Below are 21,418 nucleotides of genomic sequence, written 5' to 3'. Positions count from 1 at the left end.
AGGTAGTATTTCCATCTTAATATTAAATCTTCCAATCCATAAACACAGGTTGTCTTTCCATTTACTTAGGTATTCTTTAATTTCTTTCAGCATAGGAGAAGAGACAAACAGTCAAGCAGTGAAATTTTGGAAAGAAAAGCAGTAGATGAGTGGAAAATAACCCAGCATATAAAAGAAATAAAATTCTGAGATGGTATGGGGGAAAGTCAAGAACCCATTCTGACTTTATATCAAAGTAATCAAAATCTCAAAGTGCTGGCACCATGTGCCTCTGGAAAAGGAAGTGAACAGGTTGGGGTGTGGTGGCCAGCTGAGATAAAGTAGATTCTTTGAAAGTTTACTTATGAGACAATGGGATTCCCACCTCCCACCACCTTTCAGGGCATTTTCTGTACTGTCCAGAAGGTTATTTGCTGGAGAGGGTTAAAACCAAGGATCTCTTGACTACAAGGCACTAGGCACAAATAGAGACATGGATGCTACACTAGCACAATATTGAGATGAACAAATACTTCCTGAATCCTCAGACCTCTTCTCTCACTCACCTTCCACAACTCTGGCAATGAGCCCTTCACCCTTGCTCTAGCCAGAGATTGGTAGTCTTATAGGCCCCTAAGGGAAGACTTAAAGATACTGAGTAAACGTCCTTAAGTAAACTTACCCAGTTAGATTATCTGACAAGGAAGCTCAAATTCAGTAAGCCATGAACGCATGCTTAGAGCCTTCAAATGCTGTTTTTCTTTTTAATTTTTAAAAATTAAGACATAATTTACTTATAATCAAATTCAGTTTTTAGGTGTACAGTTCTGAGTCCAGAAAACACAATTGTAAAACTACCATTAGAATAAAGATAAAGGACAGTTCCATGTCCCCCAAATCCAAACATCTTTTTAATCTCCAACATTTAATATGAGTAGAGAAAGATCATCAGACTTGAGAGAAACAGGGAGTATTACAGAAATCCTCAGAGAGAATGTATTACAATCATGACCTGAACATAGAATATATTATCAAAAGTAGCATTCAGAGACCCAAAAGATAACTATTAGAAATATTAGAAATGTGAATTTTCTCTATGGCCATACCACCCTGAACACACCTGACCTCATCTGATCTCAGAAGCTAAGCAGGGTCAGGCCTGGTTAGTACTTCGATGGGAAAAAATGTCAATTTTGATGGTAGAAACTAAAAATCCAATGGGTGGGCATTTATCCCAGAGAAATGAAGGCTTATGTTCATTTCTGTGTGTATCTGAATGTTTGTGGCAGCCTTACTTATAACAGCCTCAACCTGGAAACAACCAAAATGTCCTTTAACAGGTGAATAGTTAACCAAACTATGGCACGTTCATACCAAGAAATTTACTCAGCAATAAAAATGAATGAACAGAAATGACATTATGGGAAATGATGGCATAGGACATGCCAGGAATCCATCCCTCCACTGAGATAACAATTGAGCTGTCAGGAAGTTTCCAAAGCAGCTATTTTGGAACTCTGGAGTCTAGTTGAAAACTTGCATCATCCATGGAAGAACCTGATGAAGAAGCTGGTGAATTTCCATGTTTCTAATAGTGCCTAATATCCTCCATTCCCTAGCAGTGTGGCAGGCAGCCATGGGATGACAGCTTATGTTCATGGTGTGACCTGCTGGTGCCAGAGTGGGCAATAAGGACCTTGTCCTTCACAAACCAGGATGTGTGTTTGACTGCTGATGGCTGCATTTGGTTGCTGGGGGGATGGCTCAGAGGCTGGTCATTCTTTCAACTCCCACAATCTGAAACAGCTTCTCTGCCACAAGGGTAATTAGAGAAATAGTAATTTTTAAGAAGAGATATTTTATTTTTATTTTGCCCTTTTTGGGAGCCAGACATTTAAGGAAATCTTTGTCAAGTCACTGGCTGACCACAGAGAACAAACTCCAGCAACCACACTCCACAATGAATACACACTTTATAAAATTTTCAAGAAGTCACAAATAGGTGGCTCCAACCCTCAATAAACAAAAATAATTCCTGAGGAGTGGGAATATGTGGTTTCCAGAGTTTCCACATTACAGTACTCAGAATGTACAGTTCTCAGTAAGACAAAACCAAAAACAAAGCATAGAATTAGTTTGCTAGGACTGCCATAATGAACACAAACACATTCAGTAGCTTAAACAGCAGAAATTTATTGGTTCACAGTTCTGGAGGCTATATGTCCAAAATGGCAGGGTTGGTTCCCTCTGAGAGCTGTGAGACAGAACCTGTTCCATCCTTCTCTCTTACCTTCTGGTGGTTTGCTAGCATTATTTGGCATTCTGTGGCTTGCAGTTCTCTGTCTTTATCTTTAAACAGCATTCTCCCTAAGTTTGTGTCTACATCCAAAATTTTCCCTTCTTACAAGGACACGAGTCATATTATATTAGGGGACCATTCCTACTCCAGTGTGACCTCATCTTAACTAATTTGCAATGATCTTATATCCAAAAAAGTGATATGGTGAGGTGCTGGGGTTTAGAATTTCAACATATAAATTTCAGAGGGACACAGTTCAACCCATAACTTGAAGATAAGGCAATAAAAATTATTGTTTGAATAATATAAAGAAAAAATATGAAAAATGTGAATAGAGGCTGAGATACCTGTGGGACACCATCAAGCATAACATACACAGCATTAGAGTCCCAGAAGGAGAAGAGAGGGAAAGAAAGGGACATAAAAGAATATTTGAAGAAACAACGGCTGAAAACTTCCCAAATCTGATGAAAGACATAATAATACACATTCAAAAAGCTCAGTTCATGCCAACACACATTATAGTCAAACTGTCAATACTCAAAGACAAATGGAGAATCTTGAAAGCAGCAAGAGAGGAGCTACTCATCACGTACAAGGGATTCTCAATAAGATTAGCAGCTCATTTTTCATCAGAAACCATGAAGGCTACACAGGAAAGGGATGCCATGTTTAAAGTCCTGAAAGAAAAATAAGGTGTCAACCAAGATTTCTATTTTTAGCAAAATGATACTTTAAGAATGAAGGAAAACTTCAGACATTTCCAAATAACAAAAGCAAAAAAGGGGGGTTGTTATCAGTAGACTTTCCCTATTAGAAATGCTAAAGGGAAAAGGGAGGGTTTTAGCAGAAATGAAAATATGCTAGACAGAAACTTGAAACTATAATACAAAATAAGAACACTGGTAATGGTAGTTACATAGCTAAATATAAAAGTCAGTATGACTGTAATTTTAGTATATAATTCCTTTTTTACCTTAGGAATTAAAAGTTAAGTGCATAAAGGAATAATTACAAATTTATGTTAATGGGTGCACAATGTATAAAGATGTAATTTGTGACAATCAATATAAAGTGGAGTAATGAAGAGATACAGGAGTAGAGTGTTTATATATAATTTTAACTAAGTTGCTATTCATACTAGGAGGTTATAAGTGTAAGGTGTTGATTGTAACCTCCAAGTTAAACCACTAAGATAGTAACTAAAAACTATACTGAAAAAGACTGAAGAAAAGACTCAAAGTAGTACGCTACAAAAATCAAGTAACTTTACAGCTTAGGCAGTAATTGTGAAATTGAGGACCAAAAAACACATGAGACATAAGGAAAAGAAATACTAAATGGCAGAAGTAAGTTCTTTCTTCTCAGTAATTACTTTAAGTGAAAGTGGATTAAATTATCCAATTAGTAGGCAAAGATTAGCAGAATATATAAAAGACCCATATATGTGCTGTCTATAAAGAATCACTTTAGATTCAAAACTCATATAGATTGCAAGTAAAAGGGTGGAAGAAGATATTCCATTAAAGCAGTAACCAAAAGAGAGCTTGCATTGATATGTTATTGTCAGACAAAATAGACTTTAAGTCAAAAAGGTTACAAGAGACAAAGAACATTAAACATTGATAAAAGGGTTGATCCATCAAAATATATAGCTATCATAAACATATATGCACCTAACAACAGAACCCCCAAAAATATGAAGCAAAAATTGATAAAATTGAAGGAAGAAATAGTTCTACAGTAATAGATGGAGATTTTAATACCCAAATTTCAATAATCGATAGAACCAAACAGAAGAAGATCAATAAAGAAATAGAGGCTGAGTGCAGTGGCTCACGCCTGTAATCCCAGCACTTTGGGAGGCTGAGGCAGGTGGATCACCTGAGGTCAGAAGTTTGAGACCAGCTTGGCCAACACAGTGAAACCCTGTCTCTACTAAAAATACAAAAATTAGCTGGGCGTGGTGGTGGACGACTGTATTCCCAGCTACTTGGAAGCTGAGGCAGGAGAATTGCTTGAACTTGGGAGATGGAGGTTGCAGTGAGCTGAGATCATGCCACTGCACTCCAACCTGGGTGACAGAGTGAGACTCTGTCTCAAAAAAGAAAAAGAAATAGAGCACTTGAACAACACTCTAAACCAATTAGACCTAACAGATTATATAGAAAACTAAACCCAACAATAGCAAAATATACATTCTTCTTAAATGTACATAGGATGTTCTCCAGGACATATTAGGCCATAAAATAAATCTTAATAAGCCTAAGAAGATTCAAATCATACAAAGTATATTTTTTATCACAACGGAATGACTAGAAATCCATGACAGAAGGAAAACTGGAAAAATTACAGTATTTGCCTATTAAATAACACACTTTATGCAACCAGTAGGTCAAAGAATAAATCCACAAGGGAATTTAGAAAATGCCTTGATATGAATTAGGCCAGGCACGGTGGCTCACTCGTGTAATCCCAGCACTTTGGGAGGTTGAGATGGGTTGATCATTTGATGCCAGGAGTTTGAGACCAGCCTGGCCAGCATGGTAAAACCAAGTCTTTACCAAAAATGCAAAAATTAGCCAGGCGTGGTGGCACCTGCCTGTATTTCCAGCTACTCGAGAGGCTGAGGCATGAGAATCACTTGAACTCAAGAAACAGAGGTTGCAGTGAGCCGAGATTGCGCTACTGCACTCCATCCTGTGCAACAGAGTGAAACTGTCTCAAAAAAAAAAAAAAAAAAGAAAAGAAGGAAAGAGAAAGAAAAAAGAAAATGCCTTGATATGAATTAAAAGAAAAACTCAACATACCAAATGTTATGGTATGCAGAGAAAGCAGTGCTAAGAGGGAAACTTGTAGCTATTAATGTCTACATCTTAAAAATAAGAAGGATCCCAAATTAATGATCTAACTACACAATTTAAGGAATTAGAAAACGAAGAGCAGACTAAATCCAGAGCTAGCAGAAGTAAGGAAATAATGAAGGTTAAAGATAAATCAAGTCGAGAATGGAAAAACAATGGAGAAAATCAACAAAACCAAAAGGCGATTTTTGAAGTGATCAAAATTAACAAAGCTTTAGCTAGATTGACTAAGGAAAGAAAAAGACTCAAATTAGTAAAATAAGAAAGGAAAGTGGGAGGTATTACTACTGACCATACAGAAATAAAAAGGATTATGAAAGAATACGCCAAAAAATGTCACGCCAACAAATTGGATAACCTAGATAAAATGGACAAATTTCTAGAAACAAAAAAAAAAAAAACCAACAAGACTGAATCAGGGAGAAATAGAAAATATGAATAGACTCATAACTAGTAAAGAGATTGAATCAGTAACGAAGAAAAGCCCTGGGCCACATGATATCACTCGTGAATTCTAACAAACACTTACTAAAGAACATACATAAATGTTTTTCAAAGTTTTTCTAAAAGTTGAAGAGGTGGGACCATTTCCTAACTCATTCTGTGAGGCCAGCATTGCCCTAATACCAAAGTCAGACAAAGACCCTACAAGAAAGGAAAACTAGGGGCCAATATCCCTTATGAATACACATGCAAAAATCCTCAATGAAATATTAGTAAATGAAATTCATCAGCATATTAAAAGTGTTACACACTATTAACAAGTAATATTTATCCCTAGAATGTAAGGATTATTTTTTCATAATGAAAATATCAATGTACTACACTACATTATTAGAATGAGGAGGAAAAGACATGATCATTTCAATTGATGTGGAAAACACGCTTGACAAAATTGAACACTCTTTCATGATAAAAACACTCAACTCCTTAACATGATAAAGGCAATATATCCAAAAATCCCACAGCCAACACCATACTGTATAGTGAAAAACTGGAAACTTTTTCTCTAAGATCAAGAAGGAGACAAGGATGCCCACCTTCCCCAGTTCTATTTAACACAGTACTGGAAGTTCTAGCCAGAGCAACTAAGCAAGAAAAGGAAATATAAAGCATTCGAATTGGAAAGGAAGAAGTGAAGTTACCTCCGTTCACAGATGGCATATAGAAAACCCTAAATAATCCATAAAAACCCTGTTAGCACTAATAAGTAAAAAGCCGTAGGGTATAGCAGACAGTGGCACAGGTGAACAGCACTAATAAGTGAAAAGTCGTAGGGTACAGTAGACAGTGGCACAGGTGAACGGCTGAACCACTTCCAGTTCAGCTCCTTCACTGCCTTCTCCTTCCTCAACCCCCTGCAACCTGGTGTCCACTCCTCCACAGAAACAGCTTTTCTGCAGCCTCAGTGTCTGTACCTATTTCTGGGCGTCTCTTCTGTATGCAGAACCTGAACAGGGAGAGGTCTCTGCTATGAAGAGTGCAGATGTGGATGCTTCTGTCTGGGTGCGTGGAGCTGAGAGGCTGGCCAGCCCTGGCCCATGTGCTGCTGACTTTGCAGTCACTCCCTGGGCCAGAGGGGCTTCAGGCTGGAGTCTGAGCCTCATGGGTCAGCAGCTGTGATGTCACCAATTGTGACCTCAAGGGCTTCTGACCTTGCAGTGAGCTTGTTGGCACTGCCTGTCCGGGGACCCTGGGGCTGCTGTTCCTGTGGTAATGTGGCAGCTGGGACCATGGCCAGCTTCAGTCTGCCTGGCGTCACATAAGCCAGCCCACAGGGTCCTGCAGCTTGTCCTTTCTGGCTGGAAGCTCTGGGCATAGCCTGGGACTGGGTCTTTCCAGAGAGGGCTGTAGCCAGGGCCCTGCCAGCCTCGGGGGCCACAGCGGCTCTCACACCAGCATCTTGCTGGATAGGAGCAGTTCCAGGACTCTCTGATCACACCTGATCATCGTCACTGCCAGAATTCAAGGTAGCTGCCTGGTGAGTGCTAGCAGCCTGTGTGGCTGGAAAGGACAGTCCCCAAGTCGGTTAGGGACTTGGGAAGCAGCAACAGGGTGGCGGAGAAGAGCCTGGGACAGGGTCATGATGGCAGAGGGCAGCCCTGGACTCTGCAGCAGCCCTGTCCCTGTGGGGCAGATTCAGCAGTCAGCTTACAGGGTCATCTCCATGACCTAGGGGTCAGGTGGGAGGGTATGGGGTGGGGCTGAGGGGCGCTCCTGTCTCCCTTGATCCCTCAATTCCTGTGGTAATGCTGCTTCCCCGGTTCAGGACTGTTTGAGGCTGCATGGCCCAGCAGGAGGAGCACAGGCCACCCATCCTGAACCTCTTCCCCGACTCACTGTGTGAATGCAGGCAAATCAGTTAACTTTCCGGAGCCTCAGTTTCCTCACTTGAATTATGGGGGTGAGCATAATACGTTCTCCATCAGGTAGAAAAAAAATGAAGTGAGGTTATGCATAGAATGTAGCAGACACTTAGAGGCCACAGGCACCATTCTGCAGCCTCCTGCTGTGGCCCTGCTGCCTGTCCCGGCCCAGGCTTCCCCTGCCCCGCACTCCTCAGGGTTGAGCCTGGGCTGGAGGTGACTCACCCAAGTGCACCTGACAGGAAGGGGCTGAGCTGGGGCCTGGCCCAGGCTGTGGCTGCAGGACTGTGGGCTTAGGCCCAGCGAAGGCATCCCAGAGTCCTCAGAACAGCCAGGGCTGCAGGGGCGGAGGCCACCAAGACCCCCTTTAGCCAGCACTGGTGTAGAGAGCTGCACCCTGTACTAGACTAGTGGGCAAGTCAGTGGGGAAGCCTGCCCTTCAGGGCCCAGGGACTTCTTGGTGCGGGCAAGGGACAGGTCGTGAGCAGGGCTGGCAGTATTTCTGGGCCAGGGCAAAGGCCCTCTGGATGGCTGATCTTCCAGAGTCAGAGATGGGGCACGGAGGCGGTGGGTGAGCGGGTGTGTTCTGGCTCACAGACAGGCTGGTCTCCCATGCCATGGCCATGGTCCCAGTGGCCTGTGTTCAGTGTCCAGTGTGCAGCCTCCCGCCTCGGGCCTTGAGTGATTCCACACTTGGCGGCAGGCAGCCTCCCAGCTAGCCCAGTACCCCGCCCTCAGAGGGATGGATGAGCAGCATGGCACATTATGGGATCACTGCCGAGCAGTCTTGCCCGAGCCCACCGGCTTTTGGAGGACTCCGGAATCCCAGATTTGGAAAGGGCTACCCGTGTTCCCCAGGGGCTCCTCTCCAGACATCATCGGATTTTGAATCATGCCAGGTGTGGTAGTAGGTCACGCCAGCTGCTTTGAATTGGGAAGGGAAGCAAGGTGCGTTATGGGCTGGTGGGGGCAGCCTCTGCCTTGGACCAAGGAAGCGAGGAGCTCCCAGGTCACGCAGCAGAGGATAGGGACAGAGCTGAGGCCAGCCACACCCAGATGGCCACCTGCCTGTGTGTGGGGGTGTGTATGAGGTCAGGTCTGAGTGTGAGTCTGTAAGAGTGTCTGTATGTGTCTGTGTGTGAGTGTGAATCTGTGTGTGTGTGAATCTGTGTGTGAATGTGTGAGTCTGTGTATGTGAATCTGTGTATGTGTATGTGAGTTTGTGTGGGTCTGTGTGTATGTGTCTATGTGTCTGTATGTGTGTGTATGTGAATCTATGTGTGTCTGTGTGTATGAGTGTGTGAGTGTGTATGTGTCTGTGTGTGTCTATGTGTGTGAGTCTGAGCATGTGTGTGAGTCTGTGTGTGTGTGTGTATGTGAGTCTGTGTGTGGGGGGTGTCTGTGTGTGAGTGTGTATGTGAGTCTGTGTGTGTGGGTGAGCCTGAGTGTGTGTGAGTCTGAGTGTGTGAGTCTGTGTGAGTGTGCGTATGTGTGAGTCTGTGAGTATGAGTCTGTGTGTGGGGTCAGTCTGTGTGAGTGTGTGTGTGAGAATGAGTGTGTGTGTCTGTGAGAGTGAGTGTGTGTGTGTGTGTGTGTGGGAACGGCAGTCAGTGAGGCGAGGTGGGAAACCTGCTTAGCGGCCGCCTTCTTGGCCTGGGTCCTCTGAGGCTGGGGCGTTTGCAGCGGTTGCTGGGCATGAGTGTGTAGATGTGCAGTCCCCAAGCAGGCCCTGGACAGGTGCAAGTGCAGAGCTGCACTTGGGAGCTGCACCCAGGAGGCGCTGAGAGGAAAGTGGGATGTGGGGAGGGAAGGGGAAGGGAGGATGCACTCTGGGGTGTGTCCTCACCATGGCTGCAGCTCAGCCAGCCCCCACAGGCTGCTGTGGGTGACTGTGCAGAGCACAGCTCCGAGCTGCCCCCAAAGAGGGGCAAGGGAGCTGGGGTATTTATCCAATTCCCTGCCCTCATTGGTGAGGGGCTGCTGTCACTCTCTGTGCATGGCCTAGTGCATCTCTGCAGCCGGAGGGAGTCAAAGGCCTGGCCTCCAGGTGTGGAGGTGAGGGCAGAGGTGCTGTGCATGGGCCCCTGACAGCATCTGCTGCAAATCTCAGGCTGAAGCCAGGTCCTCACTGGCATGCAGGCTCCCTGCTTCTGGGGCATCCCCACCAAAGCAGTGCACAATCCTCTAGGCTGAGGGCTTTCAGTGGAGCACCAGGTAGGATGGGACAGGGTGTGGTGTGGAGGGGCTGGCAGGCCTGTGAGCTGGGCTGTCCCGATGTTGCCCACCAGATGTGGGAGGAGGCAGACATTCCTCAGGGCCACACCCCTGCCCCTGCAAGGCACACTACATGGCCCTGTCCATCAAGGGACCTCCCAGAGGGCAGTGGGGCTGGGGAGCCTGCGGAGACAAAGCTGGCACAGCCCTGGAGGGGCAGGGTTATGGAGCAGGAAGGTAGGGGGTGGCTGGCAAGGGTGTTAGAGGGTCTTTGAGGCCAGGGGGTGGCTCTAGTCCAGTGGTCCCTAACCTTTTTGGCACCACGGTTTCATGGAAAACAATTTTTCCATGGACACTGTGGCAGGGAGTGGTGGCTGGTTTGGGGATGAAACTGTTCCACCTCAGATCATCAGGGATGAGCTAGATTCTCATAAGGAGCATGCAGCCTAGATTCCCCACATGCTCAGTTCATAATGGGGCCTGCGCTCCTATGAGAATCTAATGCTGCCGCTGATCTGACAGGAGGTGGAGCTCAGGTGATAATGCTCACTCACCTGCCACCCACCTCCTGCTGTGCGGCCCAGTTCCATGCTGGAGCGGGGTCTAGCCTGCACCGTGTCAGGTCTCCTGCGACTGTACCGTCCTGGCCTCAAAGGGTGATGGCCCCCAAAGACTGCTCATCTCTCCTCTGAATGGGCAGGTGATGCCTCCTCAGTGTCATAAACACGGGGCTTCGGCACAGCATGGCTGGTTGAGAACCCCCAGCAGCCAGGGAAGCACGCATCAGGGGTCACCTTGACCAAAGGGCTGGCCTTCCTGAGAGAGGACAGGAGCCAAACACTCAGGCCTAGGGTTCTGGTGAAGTGCAGCCTCCAAGCTTGTCGCTAGAACCACACCCAGGGAAGCAGCAGACTTCCTCCGAGTGGCCAGAGCTGTGCTGTCCAATGCAGCAGGCACTAGCCATGAGCAGCTAGCCGTTCACAGTTATTAGAATTAAATACAACTGAAAACTATTCAGTCCCTCAGTCATGCTCAGCTGATAGCCTCATGTAGCCAGCAGCTGCCGTCTCGGACAGCACGGACCTAGGGCATTTCCATCATCTCAGAAAGTTCTACTGGATGGTGCTAGTCCCAGAGAAAGGCCACCACCTGGCTAGGCCACAAGGACCCAGCCCCCCAGACCAGGAATCAGCCCCACTCCCTGACCAGGGCTTCACTTGTCAGCTCAGGGGACGAAATGTGGCACCTGGGGAAACTGGCAGGCAGTCGGCATTGTCACAACATGCTTCAGGGTCCCGTGTGGTGGCATGCTGGCTGAGGTGGCTACCATGAAAACACACCAGTGAGAAGGAACAGGTGACATGCTGCCACAAAGGACACCAGGGGTCAGACCTTACCCTCCAGTAGTCTCAATGCTCACCTAACTCTGCTCACCTGGGGTGCTTTAAAATGTATGTACAGCCGGGCCAGGCGCGGTGGCTCACGCCTGTAATCCCAACACTTTGGGAGGCCGAGGCGGATGGATCACCTGAGGTCAGGAGTTTGAGACCAGCCTGGCCAACATGGTGAAACCCCGTCTCTACTAAAAATACAAAAATTAGCCAGGCGTGGTGGCAGGCGCCTGTAATCCCAGCTACTTGGGAGGCTGAGGCAGGAGAATTGCTTGAATCTGGGAGGCAGAGGTTGCAGTGAGCCAAGATCATGCCATTGCACTCCAGCCTGGGGACGAGAGCGAGACTTCGTCTCAAAAAAAAAAAAAAAAAAACAACAGAAAAACAAAACAAACAAAAAATGTATGTACAGCCTGGGCAATATAGTTAGACCCCATTTCTACAAAAATATATAATTAGTGGGGCATGGTAGCACATGCCTGTGCTCCCAGCTACTCGGGAGGCTGAGGTGGCAGGATCACTTGAACCCAGGAGGTTGAGGCAGCAGTGAGCCGTGATCAACCACGGCACTCCAGCCTGGGCGGCAGATCAAGACCTTGTCTCAAAACAAACAAACAGAAAACTAGAAATGGACTTACCATATGACCCAGCAATATATCTCAGAGAAATGAAGACTTATTTTCATGCAAAAACTTACATCTGAATATTAACAGTGGCTTTGTAAGTGCCCCAAGCTGGAGGCCTGAGAAGCTGCACAACCGCACCCTAGAACAGTGCTCAGCAGCAGGAGGGACAGACTGTGGGTGAAGTTTGGGCTGATCTGGAAGAAATGGATGAGAAGGAGCCAGTCTCAGAAACACACCTCGTGTGCAGTTCCTCCGCATAGCGCTCCTGAAATCACATGGCTGCCCCATGATGAGGACAGATCAGTGGCTGCCAGGGTTGGGGAACCGGGCTGTGGACAGGCGTGGCTGTGGAGGGGTAAGCGTGAGAGAGCCTTGGGGAGAGCGTCTGGTGAGGACCTTGATTACGGTGGTCACAGGAAGCTACACGCAGGAGAAAATTGAACACAGCGGTGCATGCACAGGGCAGTGATGCAGGTCATTTGGCGGCCCGCAGGCACCCCCAGCCCTGCTGGGTACTCATCACTCTGCCTTCTGCCCCCCACCACCCCTGCCCCCTCTGACGCCTCCTCTTGTCTTCCAGCCATGGCTGAGAGGTGTGCCTCAGCTTAACCCACTCAGTGATGGACTCCAGTGCCTGCAAGAAGTCTCACCAGAGTAAGAAGTGGAGGATCCAGGCCCAGGAGAATTTTGCCAAGAAGTTTCCGTACAGGTGCGGGAGGCTGACACCTCTGGAGACAAGCCCTGCCTCCCCCAGGTCACCCCAGCATCCTGGGAACTCAAATGCATTCTGTGGGGCTGCAGCTGGGAGGGGGTTTTGTCCACAGGGAGACCCTTAGCAGCCCTTGCCCAGCTGACAGTCTGGGGTCCGCCTTCGTTACCCCCATCACAGCCTAAGCCGAGGGGCCTCTGGGTGGGCTCAGGCCTCCCTGGGTCATCCCAGAGCCCAGGCCAGCTGCTTCCCCAAGTCACGCGAGGAGCATGGCCACAGACGACTGCCCCTCCTGAGCTGTGTTGGAATTGGTGTGCTGGGCACCCATTGTTTGTGAGCTCCTGGGACTCGCAACTAGCCAGGATAACGGGCAGCCCGAGGGGGCCTGGGCCAAGTCTCCACAGGGCACTTCACATAAGGACAGAGCCACGGGCCAAAGAGGCAAAACAAATGCAAGGGAAATCTTGCCAGCAATGCCTGGGGCGCAGGGCAGCTGGCCTCCCACCCGCAGGACAGCAGGCAGCACCTGGCACTGGGGCTCAGCTTGGCACCGTGCAACCTCAAGCTTCCCACTCCATGCTCACCCCCCACCCCAGAAGCAAGTGTTGTGCGCCCAGCAGTGGCCCTGGATGCTTGGCAGGGCTACCCACAGGGACCACGGGGGACCACCAGGGCAGCCACGCTCGAGGGAGGTGGGGACGATGAGCTCCATGCTGTGTCCCTGTGCCGGGCCAGCTGAGCACCTGTTCTTGTCCTTGCCCCAGGAAACTGTAGCCATAACCTTGCACCCCATTCTGTCCCCCACCGCAGACACCATCACATGAGGCCCAGGTGGCAGGTACACACCACACAGAGTGGCCTCAGGTTGAAACCAGGGGAGGCCAGCACCCAGGGGCTCAAGTGCTCTGCACCGTTTGGCTGCTGTGGCCATGACAAGGCTCTGGAGCAGGCTGCAGCTTAGTTCCCACCTCCTGGCTGTGGAACCTCTGTGCCTCAGTTTCCTTGTCTGTAAAGTGTGGGTAACACCTGCCTCACAGCATGCTTGTCAGCTGACATATGGGCTAATATTTGTGAAGCACTTAGAACAGTGCCTAGCAGATGGAAAGTTCCAGATGAGTGAGAGTTACTTCAGGAGGCTGGTGGATGGTGGCCATGTTGACATTCCAAGTGCTGTTGCAGGTTGTCGTGGCTGACAGAGCCCGACCCTGAGCCCCTGCAGCCCTGGGAGGTCACAAACGACTCGAACACGGTGCAGCTGCCCCTGCAGAAGAGGTTGGTGCCAACGAGGTCCATCCCAGTCCGAGGGTAAGTCCCTGCCCTGATGCCACCACCCCCACTGGCTGTGTGCATGCTGCCTGGCTTTCTGTCCCCCAGTTTTGCATGCAGACGTTCATGTTATCCTCCCAGCACGCGCCACTTTAAAGCTGAGGAAACTGAGGCAGAGAAGGGGGATGCTAAAGCCTGATAATTGTTCCCACAGCCAGGCAGCATCCAGGCAAGGGCACACAGAACCTTCCCTGGGCAGGGCCCAGGCCACCGGGGTTAGGCCTAGTTGGAGGAGTGGTGGAGAAACTGGCCTCAGTGCAGCAGGAGTTTAGCCAAGTCCTCCACATGGGAGAGCAGCAAGGGAAGGAGCCAGGAGCTTCTGCACTCACTGTGGCTGCACTGGGCCGGCTAATGCTGTACTCCAAGGGTGGAGGCCCTGGCAGGGACCTCTGCACTGGGTGGCCCTCAGCTGACCACAGCACAAACTCTCATGCCCCCTTGTCACCCCATGCATGGGGCGCTCAAAGAAACCCTGCACACCTTTGGAAAGATCCAGCCACGGAAAAGCAGACCCTCAGGCACACCTACTTCCTCCTAAACAGATGTGGAGAAAGAAACAGAGCTTCTGACCTGGTGTCTCCTCAGTCATGCACGGCACGGGGAACAGCTGTGTGGCACCGAAGGGCTTCCTCCACCAGCGGTGCAGGACCCCTAGCCTCCTGAATGCCCCGGCCCCACTGATGCCCTGGCCCCCCGCCCACTCCAGTTAATGTCAGGGGCAGGGGGGGGTCTGTGTTGACTTTTCCATGCCCATTGTTTGATATAGTGCCTGTCAACTCTGGCCAGCCATGAGGATGCACACGCGTTCCCCTGAACACACACCTGGAGAGATAGTAGTGCCACGCACACACACACACACACAAAGAACAGACTTACATGCACATCCAGCACACAAACGGCCCTGGCCTTTGCCAGGCCTCACTCCCCGTAGTTCGGCTACAGGAGCATCAGATCCCCAGGCTTTTGCCCCACATCGCCGAGCTGAAGCAATGGGGCTTAGCGGCCAGGGCTGGGCTCTGAGAGCTCAGATGTTCCTGGTCTCAGATTCTACCCATGCAAAATGGACTGGCTTAGAGTCAGGGGCAGCTGTGGGGTCAGAGCAGAGGCCTGGGGCTGAACCCCTGCTGCTGGGAACATGTCAGGGAGCTGAAGGGGGCAGTGGGCTGAGCCAAGGCTGGGGAGAGATAATTGACCAGGGACCAAGCGGCTCCCAGGGCCCAGCCACAGCAGGGAGTTGGTCCCATGCCAGGGCTGGGGGAGTGGGCATTGGTGGGTTTCCACATCTCTACGGCCGGGCCCATGAGCACAGGAGGTAGGGAGGGGGCTGTGGGTGTCAGCCTCAGTCAAATGGCAGCAAAACAATGGGGAGCAGGCAGAAGGGAGCTTTCCCACGCCATCCTGTCGGGGAGCTGCGGAGACAGTCAAGCCTGTGGGTGGCATGCTGGGTCCTGCATGTAGCTGCTGGGAGATGGGCTGGAAGGAGGAGTGGGAGACAGAGGGTGTCCTCACAGTCAGGTTGGCATGGCAGAGAAGTAAGTATGCCTCCGGCAGGTGCTAAAAATAAAGCTTGCTTAGTGGTTGGGCAGGACTTGAGACCACGTCCCCAGCCACTTATGGGCTGGGGCTCAGGAGGCACTGGGGAGGCTCCTAGATTCTGGCTTGGATGTCAGGTGGCTGGAGGAGCCTGTGTGGGGGGGTGAGTGTGCGGTGCCCCCATGGCTTCCTGGGACATCAGGTGGCAGAGCCTCTGTGTGGAAGGGGCCAGGTCAAGCCTGGTTGGGAGTAGATCTCAGTTGGAGCCCTCCCAGATGTGGCCCTGGCTGACTTCTCTGGGCTGCAATGGCTGCAGCCAGCAGGGGTCCTGAAGGCCAGGCGTGGCTCTGTGTGGCTTCTCTAGGCTCGGGGCTCCAGATTTTACATCACCGTCTGGCTCCTGCCCGGCACCACTACCAGCACCATCACCACCTCCACTGTGCAACCTTTGGGAACTCAAGTTGCTGAGTCGCCGCTTCCCCAGACAACTCGCCTTCCTGCTGTCCACCCGGCACACTGAGGCTGCCTGCCCCCAGACCAGCAAGGCGGCAGGGCTGTCCAGGGGCCTCTCCTAGAGACTGGGCTCTGTGTGTGGCCTTCTTATTGGCCACCTTCTCCTTGGCAGGCTCTGGGCAGTAGCCACAGAGACTTTAGTAAAGGGATCAGCCTTCATGGCCATCATAGACCGGGAGTGGTTTGTGGTCCCCCCAAAAAGCTACACCAAGCTAATAAACTGCGAGTTCCCACCCCACTTCCAGCTGGAATGATCACTTTGCCTCCCTGAGCCTTCATTTTCTCATCTCTAAAATTGTTGTAATAATGTTTAATCTTGCAGGGTTGGTGTGAGGATTAAAAAGAGCATGAATGTCACTTCTAGGACTTTATCCCAAATGTACACTCACACAGGTAAGTAAATGCTGTTCACTCCAGTGCTGCTGGAAACAGCAAAGGATTGGAAAGCAGCTAAACTGTTTGCTAAACACTCACAGGAAACTGCTAAATTATACAACTACTCCCGGAAATCTTAGGCAGCCATTCAAATGTAGAGGCAGCTCTTTATAGACTGATCTGAATGATGTACAGGTCTGTTACAATTTTTGTTAAAAAGCACAGCAGAAGAGTGTGTCTGATATGCTGCCATCTTGTGTTTACTAAAAACGGTGTGTGTATGTGTGTGTGTGGGGGGGGGGGCGTGGATGAGGAGCAGGCAGCAATCATTACCTTTGAGGAGGAGAATGGGGGACCTGGGGACAGGACCGAGAGTGAGGCACACCATTTTGTGGGTTGTCATACATGAGCCTAATGCCATATTCCTGTATTACAACATCAGTAATGTAAGGAGCGTGGTGTGGCTGCTGGAGGCTGGTGATGCCTTTGTAAAGCAAGACAGCAGCACTGGGCAGCGGGGTGCCTGCTGAAGATTTAAGGGTCCCCCCACTGTGTTCTACAAATACAGGGGCTAGAAAGTCACCTTGGAGTTCCTTGGGAGGGTGAATAAAATCAGGACACTTTGCAGCCTTCTCCCTGGAGTGGGATGTGGCTTTATTGTCTTCTCCCCAGGTGGGCAAGTGGCTTTATTGTCTCAGAAAGGAAGTGAAGTGAGGACCCTTGTGATGAAAAGATTGAAGGGGGTTGGCTTCCCAGGCCCTGGGGGCAGGACAGGGGTGGGTTCCCAACCTGCACGAAGCAGACCCTGGAGTCACATCTGTGGTGTTTGGGGAAGGGTGACCGGGCTGCACTGTGCCGCCCCAGCCAAGACTCCAGGCTCCCTCCCCAGGTGGGACCCCAGGTCCAGGCAGGGGACTCACAGCATTTGCCTGGGGATAGAGTACAGCTTCCAGCAGCACCCACAGACCTGCAGGAAGCAAAGATCCCTGGGGTCCCTTCCTGTGAGGGTGGGAGCCAGGCTGATCTTCATTTGGACTGTATAAGCTTCGAGGAGGTTGTCTCTGAGGTTTAAGCTATGCACTGTTTGATATAAGCAAAATACAGCAACGCATGTTTACCATGCAGCATAACCAGGGACACGAGACCCACTCTTATCCCTGCTGGGTGCTCCTTCCCCCACTTCACCACACCCTGAGTCCCTCGTACCCTGCCCATCAGGTCACCACATCTTTCTCCCCACTTAAAAAATGTTATAATTTGGCCAGACATGGTGGCTTACGACTGTAATCCCAACACTTTGGGAGGCTGAAGGCAGGTGGATCACTTGAGCCCAGGAGTTCGAGACCAGCCTGGGCAACATGGTGAAACCCCGTCTCTACTAAAAATACAAAAATTAGCTGGGCATGGTGGCATACGCCTGTGATGCCAGCTACTCAGGAGGCTGAGGCAGGAGAATGGCTTGAACCCAAGAGGTGGAGGTTGCAGTGAGCTGAGATCGCACCACTGCACTCCTTGAAATAACACATTGTTTGCTTTTTTCAATTATATAAGACTGTGTCAAACTCTGCAACTTTTTCCCCTCCACAGCAAGTTGCTAAGAGTCATGTGATGATGATGCTACTGCTGTAGTTCCTTCATTTTCCACTGTTTCTCATTCCATGATGTGTCCATTCTCTTTTGGGTAGATGTCTGGGTTGTTTCCACTTTGTGCTACTGTGGGTGCTGCTGCTCTAGGCATTCCTGTCCCTGTCCCCTGGGGTGTACTGTCTCCCCTCCCCAACCCATGATAGGATTTGCTGGTTGGTTGGTTGGAGGGCTCCTGAGCACCTCCTTTATCAGCTCTTGCCAGAACAATTTCCAGAGAGTTCCCAGCCTCTCCAGGTTCCCTCTGGTCCACACCTGCACTATAGGCAGGGCCCAGAGCTTTTGGGACTGGAGCAGGAGGGGTCGCTGGCTGCCTGCTCTTCCACTCATGATAGCAAAGCTGGTGGTGGTTTGTAGAAAAAGTTGGTAACTCATTACCTGAATCCAGAGTCAATTATAAAAACATACATGGTCTGTAATTCGTGCCTCCTCTCCTGGGCGTTTAAAGGAAGAATCTGAGGGCAGCTGGGATGTGTTTGCAGCCCCTGCCTTGTGCACTGAGTTTAGGTTTATGTGCATGTTATTCCTGCAAAGAAGAAAATGAGCCCCCAGGAAGCTGCACCGCATGGAAGCCCTTGCAGAGGAGCGGGTGACAGCTGAAATGTTTGACAGGAGAGAGATGGTGCAGCAATACTCTCTAAGCACAGCTACTCCATAAACTTTAGAAATGCTCACACAGTGGCCCAGATAGCAACATGGGCCCTGTGCCCTGCATCTCTGAGGCCATCTGGGTCCCCATGTGCCCTTAAGCTGTGAGCAGTTACAGTCAAACACAGATCCACAGGTAGAAAGGATGAGGCACGGTGGAGGTGCATTGGGGAGTGTGGACCCTCTCCCAGGAGTTTATCCTGCAGTCACACTCACACCTATGCAGGAGGAGGGTATGCAACAACATTCATGTCGGCACTGCCACAGAAAAGGATCCAAACTAACCTAGCATTTAAGACCAGTGGAACAAAAGCAGCATGTCATCATGGATTTATGGTTGATTCCCTCTTTGCCTCAGTCCCGCAGAACCAGCTCTGGAGGCAAGGATGGAGTGTGAGTAGTTTTTGTGAGAGGCAATCCCAGTTAGCCCATAGAGAAGTAGGGAGGAGACAGGGAAGGGACGGAACCAGACAAGGAATGTACCCTTGAGCTGGCAACCACGGCTTAGTCTGCTGGGACCACCGTAGCAAACACCACAGGCTGGGGGGAGTTAAACAATGTTCATTTTCTCCCAGTTCCAAGGAAGGCTGGACGTCCAAGGTGAAAGTGCTAGCTGCCTTGGTTCCCTGATGGGGGCTCTCTTCTCTCTTCTGGGCTTGTAGATGGCTGCTTTCTCCCTGTGTGAGAGGGAGAGGCGGGGAGGGAGAGAGAGAGAACTCTCCAGTGGCTCTGCTTATGAGGACACTAATCCCACCATGGAGACCGCATCCTCATGACCTCATCTCAACCTGATCACCTCCCAAAGGCCCCATCGCCAAATAGCATCACATTGTGGGTGAGGGCTTCCACATAAGACTGGGGAGAACATAATTCAGTCCACAGCAGCCACTGAGGGCATTTGGTGCCCAGTCCCCGTGGGGAAATCTGGGGCACCATGCAGATTGTGTCTCAATGTCCTTCATGCAGGGATAAAAGCTGGAGCATTTATCGCCCGACTTCCAACAGATGTAGGTGAGGACTGCTTCCAGGGGGCACTAACTCCTGCACACCCAGCCTTCTTGTGCCCAGGCCAAGAGGCCTGGTGGTCAGAGGGAGACTGCGGGAGGGTTGCAGATGCTAGGGAGCGCATTGAGGCACCCGACCTAAAACTGGCTGTCAGTTCCCAGACTCCCTTGCCACTGGGAATACAGTGGGCTAGGTTCAGGCCAATGGCATTGCACTGGAAATGGAATGGACTGTCCAGTTTGTGTCTTTAAAGCCAGCTTGGGTGCCCTTCTTTTCCCTTTGACATTGGGATACTTGAAAAGTGAATGGCTCACTCTCATGGAAAAGGGCCAGGCCCTAGGGACTAGGGAGCAACAAAAGAGAAGGGTCCTGGGCTCCAAGTGGCCCATTGGAGCATCTGTCCCACCAGCCCTCAGCCCCCTTCCTCTGGATAACAGAAAACACCTTAAACGACTGTCATCAAGCCTTTGTCCCAGGCAGCCGCACCTTTATCTTCATGCAGGAGCCACAGCATGATGGGGAAAGGTGGCATCCTGAGATCTGGGCCCACTGACCCCTTGGAGTGTGCTGGTGACACACATTTGGAGCTGCATGCAGCAGCCCTGGGCCTTGCCTTCACCCTGCTACTGTCTTACTCGTTGCTGAAGCCCACAGATGCATTCGGCTGTGCTTCCAAAACAATAATGCATTACATCTCGCTGTTTGTGAGAAACCAGGGATTTATTTTAAATTTTAAGCATTGGAAACATCCCTCTCAGGAAGCTGCCTGAATGACAAAGCCACAGAATAAAACTGAAAAGAAAAACAAGCCCTACCCCATAACTGCAGAAAGTTGGTTAACATTTTCCTGACAATGAAAGCCAGAAAAAAGCAAAAGAGCACTTACACTTATTTTAAAGAAGTCTGTAACCCAAACCAGCAATGGCACCCCATCCTGGGAGGTGTCCTGCCAGCACTATCCAACTTTAAGAGACTGAAAACCTGGGAAGTAAAAGACAATTTCAAGGAAGTTAAAATGCCGCGTGACCTTGGGTTTGTGCCATCAGCCCTTGTGGGCACTGGACTATGGTTTTAACAATCACTTGCCTGAAGGAGGTGCCAGATGGAGAATCACCTGGGCACCCCCCTGTGTTGTCCAGCTCTGCACATGTGACCCTGTCTTTCTTGTATCCTCTAGTGATCCAGCTGGGATCCCACAGGGTGGTCAGCCTGTGATCTGTGAGGACACAGACGTTCTGGCACCAGCCAGAGAGGAAACAGGCCACAGCAGGCCAGAGCAGGTGGAGTTCCCCAAGGACAGCCTCCAGAGCTGCCCCAGCGCCCTCAGTCCTCGAGGGCCTGGGCTGTGGCCCTGCACATACAGCAGAGGGTACAGAGCTGCATGTGGTGGGCACAGCGTCTGGGTGACACTGGGTGCCTGCAGCATGTACACATGGGGGCATCAGTGGGGAAGCAGTGGAGTAGCTGCCCACACAAGGGACTGTGAGTGTGATAACTGCCAGCATGTCCAGGTGCTGAGGGCATGACAGCAGGAGGCAGGGCACATCTAATTGTGAGACACCTGGGAGTGAGACATCCAGATGGGTGTCAGTTTCAGCAAACAGGTCCCATCGGGGGCTGTGTGGGAGCTGAGTGAGCTGGGAACAAAGGCATGTGTCATCAAAATGGGTGTGCAACAATTGCACACACAGTGGCCTAGAACACAGCATGTGTGGCCTCTAAGGGAGCATGTGAGGGCCAGGGAGCCCCTCACAAAGACAGTGGCCCCAGTGTGGCCAAGGCCCCATCCTTCCCTCCTCAGCCTGTCTCTAAACAGTGGGGCTCTGGCCCAGTACCTTAGTCCCTTTTCTGTTACTTGTAACAGAGCTCCTGAAACTGGGTAATTTATAAAGAAAAGAAATTTACTTTTTACAGTTATGGAGGCTG

The 21,418-nt window shown here is 49.9% G+C and overlaps 1 protein-coding gene, 1 long non-coding RNA gene and 1 pseudogene across 7 annotated transcripts in view, besides 2 other annotated features; 2 read left to right on the top strand and 1 right to left on the bottom strand.

Annotated features, from left to right (window-relative positions):
* LOC105374090 (uncharacterized) overlaps positions 1 to 6,737 on the bottom strand; it is a 48,528-nt gene extending 41,791 nt beyond the window's left edge. Inside the window, exon 1 of the long non-coding RNA XR_924455.2 lies at positions 6,561 to 6,737. This is a non-coding gene — a long non-coding RNA (uncharacterized LOC105374090). The remainder of the gene's footprint in view (positions 1 to 6,560) is intronic.
* On the top strand, positions 1,072 to 1,185 carry RNA5SP138 (RNA, 5S ribosomal pseudogene 138; annotated as a pseudogene).
* An 80-nt stretch (positions 6,738 to 6,817) lies between the features above and the next one.
* C3orf22 (chromosome 3 open reading frame 22) overlaps positions 6,818 to 21,418 on the top strand; it is a 31,934-nt gene continuing 17,333 nt past the window's right edge. The window contains exons 1-5 of one of the 6 annotated variants that reach the window (XM_011512457.3): positions 6,818 to 7,123; positions 12,320 to 12,448; positions 13,628 to 13,753; positions 16,143 to 16,213; positions 19,150 to 19,986. In XM_011512457.3, coding sequence (XP_011510759.1) covers positions 12,360 to 12,448; positions 13,628 to 13,753; positions 16,143 to 16,213; positions 19,150 to 19,172 — 309 coding nt within the window. In that variant the 5' untranslated portion in view covers positions 6,818 to 7,123; positions 12,320 to 12,359 and the 3' untranslated portion in view covers positions 19,173 to 19,986. The other 5 variants (XM_011512455.3, NR_130715.2, XM_017005751.2 and 2 more) reach the window with 5 other exon arrangements.
* Positions 14,914 to 15,796: an enhancer, noted in NCBI's record as "H3K4me1 hESC enhancer chr3:126268797-126269679 (GRCh37/hg19 assembly coordinates)". NCBI's record gives its function as "activates a minimal SCP1, AML or CMV promoter by ChIP-STARR-seq in primed H9 embryonic stem cells {active_cell/tissue: H9 hESC(primed)}" and the evidence as "EXISTENCE:reporter gene assay evidence [ECO:0000049][PMID:30033119]".
* Positions 15,797 to 16,678: an enhancer, noted in NCBI's record as "OCT4-NANOG-H3K4me1 hESC enhancer chr3:126267915-126268796 (GRCh37/hg19 assembly coordinates)". NCBI's record gives its function as "activates a minimal SCP1, AML or CMV promoter by ChIP-STARR-seq in naive H9 embryonic stem cells {active_cell/tissue: H9 hESC(naive)}" and the evidence as "EXISTENCE:reporter gene assay evidence [ECO:0000049][PMID:30033119]".

The sequence above is a fragment of the Homo sapiens genome, chromosome 3 (genome assembly GCF_000001405.40).
Source record: "Homo sapiens chromosome 3, GRCh38.p14 Primary Assembly".
Lineage (NCBI taxonomy): Eukaryota > Metazoa > Chordata > Mammalia > Primates > Hominidae > Homo > Homo sapiens.
The sequence above is the reverse complement of the archived record's forward strand: the minus strand, read 5'-3'. Positions and strand labels throughout refer to the sequence as shown.